Source organism: Homo sapiens, chromosome 8 (genome assembly GCF_000001405.40).
Source record: "Homo sapiens chromosome 8, GRCh38.p14 Primary Assembly".
NCBI lineage: Eukaryota > Metazoa > Chordata > Mammalia > Primates > Hominidae > Homo > Homo sapiens.
The window spans coordinates 70129501-70141709 of NC_000008.11; the positions used below are offsets into that span (position 1 = coordinate 70129501).

A 12209-nucleotide genomic window follows, 5' to 3' on the forward strand; every position below is an offset into this window, starting at 1 on the left:
AGTACATGGTGGGGTCCAATTCAGTTTGTGATTTGGGATCTGAGCTCCTCACCAATGTGATGCGCTGCCTATTATCTACTGCTTTCTGTGGCTGTCAGGATTTCCTACGTGCCCCACATTTTGCCATCATCCTCTCATTACCTACTAGACATGGTTTATGTGTCTGTCACTCCTGACTTTTTTTTTTTGAGACGGAGTTTCGCTCTTGTTGCTCAGGCTGGAGTGCAATGTTGTGATCTCGGCTCACTGCAACCTTGCCTCCCAGGTTCAAGCAATTCTCCTGCCTCAGCCTCCCAAGTAGCTGGGATCACAGGCATGCGCCACCAAGCCCGGCTACTTTTGTATTTTTAGTGGAGACGGGGTTTCTCCATGTTGGTCAGGCTGGTCTCGAACTCCCAACCTCAGGTGATCTGCCCGTTTCAGCCTCCCAAAGTGCTGGGATTACAGGCGTGAGCCACCACGCCCAGCCTCAAGTTTTCTTTAGCTCAGCGTTGTCCTAGGCCTTCTTGAAAACCATCTACCCATGTAGTGCTGGAGCCGCCCAGAGCCCTGAGCTCTGATCAGCACAGCCCTAAGGCCAGCCTGTGACAGCCAGGAGCCCACTGCCCTCCCTATGGTAATTCTAAACACAGGGATGGAGCCTAAGCAGAGGAAACCACTCATTGCTGAATTACTGCTCTAACTAAACACAAAAACATCTCAGAACTTTAACATGAATACGAATAATTTGTATTCTATACTTCCCTCAATTCTACCTAATAAACATATTTCTATAATTCAGTTTCATGACAATATTATAATGATGGTGGATTTGATGAGACAAAATAGAAATAACAGAAATGAGTGAAAAACGGACTAAAAATATTAAAAGACATGACACCTGTTTTGATAACATTACAAGTCACTCAGCAACTCCACGGATCACATTTTAAAATGTCACTTAGATAAACTCAAGGATAAAATAGTACTGAGGGCTGAATTCTAACTATCACTGAAGACAAAGCAAACCAGTCACACAGGAAATACTTAAACTCCATTTTCCTTTCTTATTTCAGGTTATATCATGTAACCTCAAGTCATTTCTTTCCATTCTGCTGTTTTCAATATGAATTGGTAAGTCACAACTCCCACCTGTGTCTGCTCAACTGTGGGAATTATGACAAGACTAATTTTAATGTTTCAGAGAAGTCTCCAATGACTCTGCATCATCTTTCTCTCAGAAAGATGATGACACATCATATGGCCAAGAAGTAGACTGGACACTGGCAGGTACTTTTTGGCAGTAAGAAATAAAGATGATTCATGCTAAGTAAGGAGGAAAACAGTAACTAGAACATGATGGTTTTTCTGGGTTACTCTTTACACAGTAAGCCAGGCTGCACTGCTTCACACAAAGTTAGCTGTGCAGTCAGTTCAGATAGTGTTTTGTTCTTTCAAGGGACTATGTTAGGTTATTTACTATATCATTGCTATCAGGTACTCTAAAAGCAGGGACTTCCTTTTTTATAGTAACCAACTAATTACTTGGAAGAAGAAAGCTAAATAAGCTCACTAAGATTAGTTAACTTTTTTATATTCCCATTTACGCTTAAACATCCCCAAAATTATGGTGGGCTAAACCATAAGTGAAAGGAACTGTAGCTAGGACTATAGGTGTGTGCCACCACAACTGGCTGTGACATTTTATTTTTTTTTTGGTAAAGACAGGGTTTCATTATGTTGCCCAGGCTAGAGTGCAGTAGCTTTTCACAGGCACAGTCAGTGCACACTACATCCTTGAACTCCTGGGCTAAACCATAAGTGAAAGGTTTAACCCGCCATTTTTAAAGGTAAAAATGATGAAAGAGTTGCAGCTACCTGTAAAATGACTTCTGCTAACTTATGTGGAAAGTATTCTTTTAGCACAAACAGCTTCCTATCACCAGCCCACAGGTGTGAAATGAATACTGGGGTCACGACTACACTCACACCAACTTCCAGGGGGAAGCGTTCTAGGTCACAAGGCAGCAATGTGCTGTTTGTGGTTTCTCTGTATCTTGTGTGTCCTTCCCTATCAGCAAGGGCGGACACCAGGTGAAATGGACTTGAGTTTGTGTCTTTCTGCTAACTTGAACTGTATGCAATGCTCATTTTCAGTGCTCTCCATTCTCAGGCAAAAGTTTATGTGAGGGTTACAAGGAAAGGGGAGGAAGAAACAGGGCCAGCCTGTTTTGAGGTAAAAAAAACAACAACAATATATTCTAAAAAGCAGACCGTGGAGTACCTGTAAACAGAAAATGGACACCTCTGCGCCCATGAGAGCGCTTGGCCCCCACCTGCTGCCCTTCCGCGCATACCTGGCTGACCAGTTCGGGTATTCCTAAGGCTCTATCAATCTCCTCCAGGCCATCAAAATTCCGCAAGGCCAGATACAGCTGGTCCAGGAGAGCTCCCTCATCACTCGGAGACTCAGCTGCAGGATGTGGACATAGCAAGTCATCTGGAGAACTGCCAAATGGCTGCCTGTAAAGACAGAAATGTCACCTTGGGCCAATGGAAAAGCTAGTTGATTAGAGAACAAATTCTTTATCTCAAAGGTGAAAGTATCAATTGACTTCCAGGGTTGTTGCAACAAACTACTGTACCAACTCAACACAGAACAAAAGGACAGTCTGAAATATTCGATACACTTTATTCAGTGCCCAATACAGGCCAGGCACAAATCTAGACATTTAAGGTATGATTTTTATTTCTATTGGTCCCACTTCACGGCTGGCAAAGCTGAGGCTTAGTGAGGTGAGGTCCACATGGATCTGTGTGAGTCCAGGGCTCACCAACCTACACCGACTGCTCAAGCATGTAAATATTTACTTGGCATTGAAGGAACCAAAGGACTTTTCTGCCCTTTAGTAGGAATCACGGATTGACTTAAGATTCTTAGTTAGAAGCTGTGATGACCCACCTGGGAGAAATGAGAGAACTAGAGGCATCAGAGCTGCATTAACTTTCTTGAACTCAGCTGCAGCTAGATTAAATTTGGCTGGGTTGATAGGAAATTTCTTAGTCATGCACAAGCAGGCCTGGAAAACATTTATTTTTCTCTGAGACAGGGTCTCACTTCATTGCCCAGGCTGGAGTGCAGTGGTGTGATCATGGCTCACAGCAGCCTCAACCTCCCGGGCTTAGGTGATCCTCCTACCTCAGCATCCAAGTAGCTGGGACTATAGGCACGCGCCACCACGCCTGGCTAATTTTTTGTATTTTTTTGTAGAGATGGCGTTTCGCCATGTTACCCACACTGGTCTTGAACTCCTGAGCTCAAGCGATCCACCCACTTCGGTCTCCCTAAGTGCTGGGATAACAGGCGTGAGCTACCACACCTGGCCTGAAAACATTTATTAAAACCCTCAAGAAGTGTATCTGTTAGCCTTCCTGCATTAGGTACATAAGGAAAGTGGATCATCAACATGCAAATTATATTTGTTATTATATAAGATAATTGGTGATGAAATCAGAACACTAAACTCTAAATTACATGGTACATACAACTCCTATACATTTAAATTAATTGTCAGATTAGAGTAGAGGAGGGGTGTGTGTGTGTGTGTGTGTGTATGTGTGTAGTGATGCCATCATGGCTCACTGGGCTCAGGTGATCCTCTGGCCTCACCCTCCTGAGTAGCTAGGACTATAGGTGTGTGCCACCACAACTGGCTGCTACTTTTTTTTTTTTTTTTTTTTGGTAAAGACAGGGTTTCATTATGTTGCCCAGGCTGGAGTGCAGTAGCTTTTCACAGGCACAATCATTGCACACTACATCCTTGAACTCCTGGGCTAAAGGAATCCTTCTACCTCAGCCTCCTGAGTAGCTGGGACTACAGATTTGATGTGTACCACCACGCTTGGCTAATTTTTGTACATTTTTTGTAGAGACAGGGTCTTGCTACATTGCCCAGGCTGGTCTCGAACTCCTGGACTCAAGCAATCCTCCCACCTTGGCCTCCCAAGTGCTGGGATAACAGGCGTGAGCCACCACATCTAGCCTAGAGGAGGCTTTTAAAAAAGAGCTTCTGAGTTGCCTGAATACTAAAAGGGAAAATGGTATTTGTACTTTACCAAAAGTCTATTTTGTACTCTTAGAGTCACTACATGATGTTTTGGAGAAAATAAACATTTACAGATTAAAAAACAAACAAAAAGTTTATAGATGAGCAAACTCATTCTTAAGCAAGTCAGAATAAACTTATCAAGAAATGAAGTTACCTATGAACACAGTTCAATATGCCATGTGGTTTTTAAATGCTCTAATATGCTATTTTGGCTTAGAATTCTGAAATACTGAAGTGCTAGCACTGAAACCAACAATTAATTTCAAATGTTCATAAAGGAATGCATTAATAACAACCTATTCTCTCCACTCACCTCTAGTAACTTGGAAATTGTCCAGCTGAGGGTCCCTTGAGGCCACGCGTCACCTGCTTCCCCGACTTCCTCACTGCAGGAGCTCCTTGCATTTCTAAGGGACCCACCCAGACCCCTGAGAGGCAGGTGCTCTTCCCACTCCCGCCCCTTTCTGCCCCTTTCTTGTCACTACTGGGCTTCACAAAGTCACACATGCTGGGAGCTTGCTGGCTCCTTCCTCCTGCTTCTTCTCCACAGCCCACACTCTCCTAGAACTTTCTTTAAACCAAATGTGATCAGACTGCTCCACTACTGCTACACTTAGGGAGCGGGAGGAAGAAGCAGATGCAGAAAAGCAGTCAGGAGAGGGAGAAACCACTGGACTGTCTGCCATGATAGCAAAGAGAGGAGATTCCTCAATGAGGAGGGGCCAACAAACATGGATATGGCAGGAGTTCCATGAAAGAGTTCAAGTCAGTCAAGAGTAATGTCAGCTATTTACCAAATTCTCCTAGGCAGCTACCTCATTCCCTAAAAATGCTAGTTAAGTTAGGCATTAAAGGATTTTCTTTACCTAGATTTTGTCATTTTCAACTTGTTTCTTTGGAAGCTGCATTCATATGCAACCCTCCCGTCCCAGATGTATTCAGTGATGGCAGGTTCGTGTGAAATCTAATGCGTGCAGGCTGTACAAGCAGACTTCTCAGCCTCACATCTGGCGGAAACCCACTGTCAGGAGGAGGCAGGCACTGTCTCGTGCCTTTGTAAGACCACTCCACCTTGACAGATCAGCAATACAGCCAAATGCTTAATAACAAACAACTAAAACAATCATTTGAATTTAAACAATTTCCTACATCATAAAATCACTTTTTGTTACATGCTTTTCTTTTTTAATTTAAAAAACCCCAAATAAATGCAGAGATTAAAAAGTTAAACAGTGCCTCCAGACCGTCCCACTTTGGTCAAGGCCCTCTTCAACACAAGTTGGGACTCTCGGGACACTTTCCCAACAACTTTCCTGCTTGCATGGTATCTCTAATTCTAATATGATGCTCTCAGGTTCCCATTCCCAAAGCACACTTTACAGAGCAAACAGGCCCTACTCAGAATTCTTATGTGGTTCTTCAGCTCTCCCAGGAAAACGCCCCTGGAATAGGGTGGTAGTGGTGGTGGGTAACGCCTAACCTTCCCAAACTTAATGTTCATGCCTTCCCTGTGAGCTCCAGCTACCACGGGCAGCTGATCTTTCTCCAAAAGATGCTACACATACCACCAGAAAACCAATACCTTGACATTTACCCCATCCTTCCCACGCTCTTCTCCAGCTGAGGGTCTACTTTCCATTGGGGTGCCACCCATCTCCTCATAGACTGCCCCGCTTTCTCCTCTCAGCATTAAACCACTTACTGTGCTATGCTGAATTGATACTAACAATTTATGTTAAAAACACAACTTCACACCATGCTCACACGGGGCAAGCATTGCATCCTCTACCTCTTTTTGGCCCAGTGCTTGAACATAAACACAGTATAGGTGCAGTAAGTTTCTAGTGGATGAAAACAAAAGGTTCCTGATTTGGCTGAGCTACAATACATTAAAAACCACTTTTATATTCAGAAATACATACTGCCTTGTGGCTTGGTGTTATAAATTTGGGCATGAGTGATATCACTTCCCTTAGAGATGTCATAATATGCTTGCTTACAGAAAAAACACTGATCCAGACTCCCAATCTGAACTTTATAAATGGCCACTAACACAATGAAGAAATTATTTTCCTATGTTTTGGGCAATTACATATAGTTACAACCTAGTTAGCATCTGACAGATAAATATAATATTAAGACGAGAATAGAATTCAGGGTAATAAAGGGAAAAACACACACAGGCCCCAGGCTGGTGCAAAATAATAACTAATAAACAAGCAGAGAGAGATCCATAATCAATGGAAATCCCATACCTTAAAGTCTACATGTTTATTTATGGACTAGTAGGTCATTAAGTACGGGACTAAGAAGGAGAATTAGGTCAAATTCTCAGCACTTGATTGAGAAACCATAACATTACCATTTCTTCACTTTTCAAAAGTATTTTCAAAATTCTGCAAAAAAGCAGCAGCTACTGAATGATGAGAAATAGTCAACAAAAGAAACCTTACTTAGAGATACATTTCAAACAGGGGAAAATCAAATTAAAATTGTGAACTTAGGCTGGGCGCGGTGGCTCACACCTACAATCTCAGCACTTTGGGAGGCTGAGGCAGGTGGATTACCTGAGGTCAGGAGTTCGAGACCAGCCTGGCCAACACGGCAAAAGCCTGTCTCTACTATAAATACAAAAATTAGCTGGGCACCTGTAATCCCAGCTACTCAGGAGGCTGAGGCAGGAGAATCACTTGAACCCAGGAGGTGGAGGTTGCAGTGAGCCGAGACCACACCACTGCACTCCAGCCTGGGCAACAAAGTGAGACTCTGTCTCAAAACAAAAAAACCAAACAAAAATCCACCAAATTGTGAACTTAATGCAAAAGGAAGTCTTTCATGAAAGACAGCTATTGTATTTCAAGAGAAAACCCCTTTAATAAAACCAACAGATATCTTTAAAAAGTCATCTATAAATTTTTGGCTATATTATAAAGATCTCTTTTATATACCAGATGAATGAAGGAAAAAAAAAAAAACCCAAAAACCCATAATGGAACTAAAAGTGGAAATTAGCTATAAATACATGAATATGTGAATGTTACAGATTTAAGGGCTAAACTACTATCTTTTTGAAATGTATACATAAACTGATGCTGGATTCATAAAACGTTAAAAAACCTGGTTCCTAAATATTAACTGTGATGCTTATAAAGGGGATTTTTAAAAAGCACTGCTCTTCTTTTATTTCAAAAGAGAGACATGGTTAGAAACTTTATTACCCATTACTTCTGATTTTCTATGACAGTAAGATTACCATAAAGCTGGTTCTAAGTTTCTTCCACACTGAATTATTTAAAATAAAAATGTGAGAGTGGCTAGAAAAACTGAAATAACTTTAAACGTAATGAAAATGTTTTGTCCACACATTGCTTATGCAAAAAACCTAACTGATGGTAACAGAAACAACAACATGCTAGGGCAGTGCTGAGTCACAGACACTTGCACAGCAAACTTAACATGCTGACTCTATCACTGGAGTTTCGCTCTTGTTGCCCAGGCTGGAGTGCAACGGTGCGGTCTCAGCTCACCACAACCTCTGCCTTCCGGGTTCAAGCGATTCTCCTGCCTCAGCCTCCCGAGTATCTGGGATTACAGGCATGCGCCACCACACCCGGCTAAGTTTTTTTGTATTTTTAGCAGAGACAGGGTTTCTCCACGTTGGTCAGGCTGGTCTCAAACTCCTGACCTCAGGTGATCTGCCCGCCTCAACCTCCCAAAGTGCTAGGATTACAGGCGTGAGCCACCGCGTCTAGCTCCATTTTTGTTTTAAGAGAACTCTCCTCCTGTTTGGGCAACACTAAAAATCCTAATTTTGGGTCTAGTTCTTCCTAAAAACTAATCTTTGACATTTCATCCAAAAACAACTAACAGGTGGTGGATTTAATTATTATACATTTGTCCTGTGTTATATTCAAGTTTCCATGGAAATGGGTGGGTTTCTAACATATCAAATAAACGTATCTAGAAATAGCCTACCATTCACTGATGTCATGAAACAAGAATCAAAGAACAAGATGGACTGTGAGAAACCACCACCTCCAAGTATGACAGCAGCTCCAAGTGCGACAGCAATGGCTATCTACCTGGGGCATGCTTCCCTGTCTACACAGTGTGCGCCTACCACTGCCCTTGGCAGCCAGTTTGGGACGAGCCACACCGCCTGCCTGAGGTTCTTCCTCTGTCACCCACTGCCTCAATTCTACTCACAGCAATCCTTACTCTGGCCCTGTGATATGCAGCTTTTACCAGCTGGACTGGCTTCCTGTCATCTCTGCCATCTGAAATGAGACCTTTTCTTCAAGATTCTGAAGGCTTCTCCAAGCATCCTGGTTGGATGATCTTCTGAAACATGGCTTATGATTTTTATACCACACACTACCTCAATATTACAGTTATCAGCATACATATGTTATTTTCCATTTAATTTGTAACTCCTTTAAAGGTATGTCCTAGGTCATACTGATTTCTGGATTCACCCCTCCTCTTCATGCACTGCACAGTAGATAATATAGTACCAATAAATGAAAACTGGTCAGGCACCGACTACTCCAAAGGAAAAGATTAATTTCTGGACAGGTATAAAATAACTGGCTACCCTAGGTGCTCAGGACTCACCTGTTTTGGCTGGCAAAAGACGCCTGGTCTATAGGCAGGATGCTTTCAGGCCATGGGGCAGTCTGATTTGGAGGAGCTTGTTGTTGGCTATACTGAGGTCCCCCCATGTTCATCTCTAATTCAGATGGCCCTAGAAAGGGAGAAGAAAAAAATCTTACATCTTTAATCAAGGAAGCATTTATTTCTGCTATGTAATATAAAGTGAAATGTCTGGTTTATGAAAAAGGGAAAACACAGAAGCAGTAATAATTAACTAGGTGAATATAAGAAGATAAAATTCTGATTCTGAAATAGAAGTCAATAAATATGAAAGCCATTTCAGAGAATATCTAGACAAGCAGTTCTAAACCTTTAGCATTTAAGACTTTAAATACTCAAAAAAGTTTTTATTCATGTGCGTTATATCTTACTGATATTTACTGTACTGGAAATTGAAATTGAGAAACAGAAAAAAGTGTAGATTCATTTAAAAATCACAATAAATGAATTATATGTTAAAAGATTTTTTTCTAGATCCAAGTAAGTGGAAGAAATAAGATTTTTGATTGCAAAATTAAAAAATTCTTTTATTGGCATCGTTTTACATTTCTGCAAATAGCTTTAATGCCTGGGTTAATGGAATAGAGTGAAATCCTCTGTTTTCGCATTTCATCTTCTGTGATATCATATAGCATGTAAAATTTCTGGAAAACTCTACCATAACGCTTGGGCGATAATAAGAGTGAAGAAGCCAACAGTGTTTTAGGATTAGTATGAAAATAGTTTTGGCCTTGCAGACTCTCTGACTGGGAATCAGGGTGCTGCACCATGTCGAGACTGCTGGCTCCTGAACGTCGACTAACTGTACTTCAGCTGGCTCCCCTACCAGAGAAAGAGCAGAGCAGAAAGGAGGCCAAGACAACCCACAAGCACTCTTTCTCCGAAGTTCTTCGAAAGGCTTTAAAGCCAATGGATGAGATGAGCTTTTAAAAATTATATTATCATCATTATCTGTAGACCTGTATTCCATTCCAAAAGATAATTTTCTGTTGAATTAATAGCTTTTGGAGTTTATTAAAAATCAGAGAAACTCAGCTATACAATAAAGCTTATAGAGCCATATTTCCAGCTCAAGAGCCAGATGCTCTTCAGTGAAGACTGAGAATAAATTACATTTCTGGATATAAGGTACTCACTATTATGATTTTTAATCAATAAATATTTTTAAATTTCTCATTTAATTTTGCACAGAAATCAGTTTTTAGCATTTTTCGTGCTGTCAAATTATACAAATTTATGTTTGAGAATCACTCATTAAGTACATTCAATGTAGTGAGGCAATATAAATGCCATCTCTGAGAAACAATAAGCCAAAATATGCTGAACAATTAAATAGGTAAGAAAACTAATGCCAAGTTAGGATGAAAATTCTACACTGTCTTGTCAAAACAACGCTGGCCATCTTTTTTTTTTTTTTTTTTTTTTTTTTGAGGAGGAGTCTCACTCTGTTGCCCAGGCTGGAATGCAGTGTTGCAGTCACAGCTCACTGCAACCTCTGTCTCCCGGGTTCAAGCAATTTCCCTACCGCAACCTCCTGAGTAGCTGGGATTACAGGTATGCGCCACCACCCCCGGCTAATTTTTGTATTTTTAGCAGAGACCGGGTTTCACCATGTTGGCCAGGCTGGTCTCAAACTCCTGACCTCAGGTGATCTGCCTACCTCAGCCTCCCACAGTGCCTGGCATCTTTTTGTGAATTATTTAGCTCTTCCTCATTGTGCAATATCTAAGTATATGAAAAGAACATAAACTTATTGGAATTATGCTAATGTACAAGAAGAGGGCTAACATGTCAATGATAAAGGAAATAATCTCAAGTATGAGTTGTACAGACCATTAATTTTTAAAATATAACAGCTTTATTGAGAGATAATTCACATAACATACAATTCACCTATTTAAAGTGTACAATGAGTTTTAGTATATTCAGAGTTGTACAACCATCACACCACAATCGACTTCAGAACGCTTTCATTCCCCCAAAAAGAAACCCATTACTCATTAGGAGTCACTCCCTACTTCCTACCTGAGCCCCTCCCCACAACTCCTGGCCCTAGGTAACCACTACTTTACTTTCTGTCCCTACAGATTTGCTCATTCTGGACATTTCATATAAATGGTATCATATGATGTATCAGACCATCAATTTTAATAATATGTGAACTGTCTCCAAATAGAATTCTAGTAATCCTCACATTCTGTGAGATGTTCTGTAAGACCTTGCAACCTTCAGTGAGGGCCTGGGATAGTCTGATTTAGTAGTCTAGGTGGTGGCCCAGGAATCTGCATTTGAAGTTCCTGATATTGTTCTGATGATCACACAGCGTTAGAAACTACTGCTGTACCACCTAAGTTTTTTTTTTTTTTTTTTTTTTTTGAGACAGAGTCTTGCTCTGTTGCCCAGGCTTGAGTGCAGTGGTGTCATCTTGGCTCAATGCACCCTCCACCTCCCAGGAAGTGATTCTCCTGCCTCAGCATCCTGAGTAGCTGGGGTTACAGGTGCCCACCACCACACCCAGCTAATTTTTGTAATTTTAGTAGAGATGGGGTTTCACCATGTTGGCCAGGCTGGTCTCGAACTCCTGACCTCAAGTGATCCTCCTGCCTCGGCCTCCCAAAGTGCTGGGATTACAAGCGTGAGTCACCGTGCCTGGCCTATTTCTTTATTAATAGTGTGACATTATAATTCATTTCTTCCCCAAAGTTGAAATTAGGTAATTTAGTAAAAATAAAACATCTCAAAGGTAGTTGGGTCTCTTATATGACTGAAGAACTTTTGAGATTCTAATTCCATACAGAGTTCCAGCAAAATCCCACTTATGGCAGCTTCATGGGAGGATTATCTAAAATGCCCATAAGAAGCATGTCTTGAAAGAACTTATGACGCTCTCTTTTCTAAGAGAGCATAAAAGTTAAAAGCAAACAGCACTAGAGCCACCTTACCTATATTCATGACCTGAGACTGAAGCGTCTGTCTTTGGCCAGGCTGGCTGCTGGGCCTCATGGGGATGCTGGCTGCTGGGTTCCGAATCATACCTCCTTGGACTGGCCGGTTCATGGCACTGGTGGTAGCAGCACAGGTGACTCTCACAGCCGAACTCTGCGGTGCCCATTCTCCAGATGGCATAGTAGGCCGAGAAGCACTGTTACCAATCATTCCTGCATGCAAGCCAAAGAAAACTGAGAGATGCAGTAACTGAAAACATATTTAGCATGTATGAACACCAGATGATCTTACCCTACAAAACAATCATTCTGTAATTCACACTTAGCCAATAGCTAATGTTCTCATTGGGCAGATGTGGGACCTTGGCTAAGAAATAACAATTGGCAATCACTACATAGTTTTCATAACATGGACCTGCCGCTCTTTATAGTTTAGAAAAGCTATTAAAATTGTTCCCATTTGTACTTAGAAACAGGTGCCGTGGCGTGTGGATAACCCCAACTTCCTTCCTCAGGAAGTGAA

At 41.5% G+C, this 12209-nt stretch overlaps 1 protein-coding gene across 49 annotated transcripts in view, besides 1 other annotated feature; it reads right to left on the minus strand.

Annotated features, from left to right (window-relative positions):
• The window catches only part of NCOA2 (nuclear receptor coactivator 2), a 346665-nt gene that overhangs the window by 19719 nt on the left and 314737 nt on the right, over positions 1-12209 (minus strand). For all 49 annotated transcript variants that reach the window (XM_047421240.1, XM_047421258.1, XM_047421256.1 and 46 more), the window contains 3 exons: positions 11684-11899; positions 8703-8832; positions 2337-2502 (listed from right to left, as the gene is read on the minus strand). In XM_047421240.1, the coding sequence (XP_047277196.1) occupies positions 2337-2502; positions 8703-8832; positions 11684-11899 (512 nt within the window). The remainder of the gene's footprint in view (positions 1-2336; positions 2503-8702; positions 8833-11683; positions 11900-12209) is intronic.
• Positions 939-988: an enhancer, noted in NCBI's record as "active region_27505". NCBI's record gives its function as "activates an Ori minimal core promoter by ATAC-STARR-seq in GM12878 lymphoblastoid cells {active_cell/tissue: GM12878}" and the evidence as "EXISTENCE:reporter gene assay evidence [ECO:0000049][PMID:35858748]".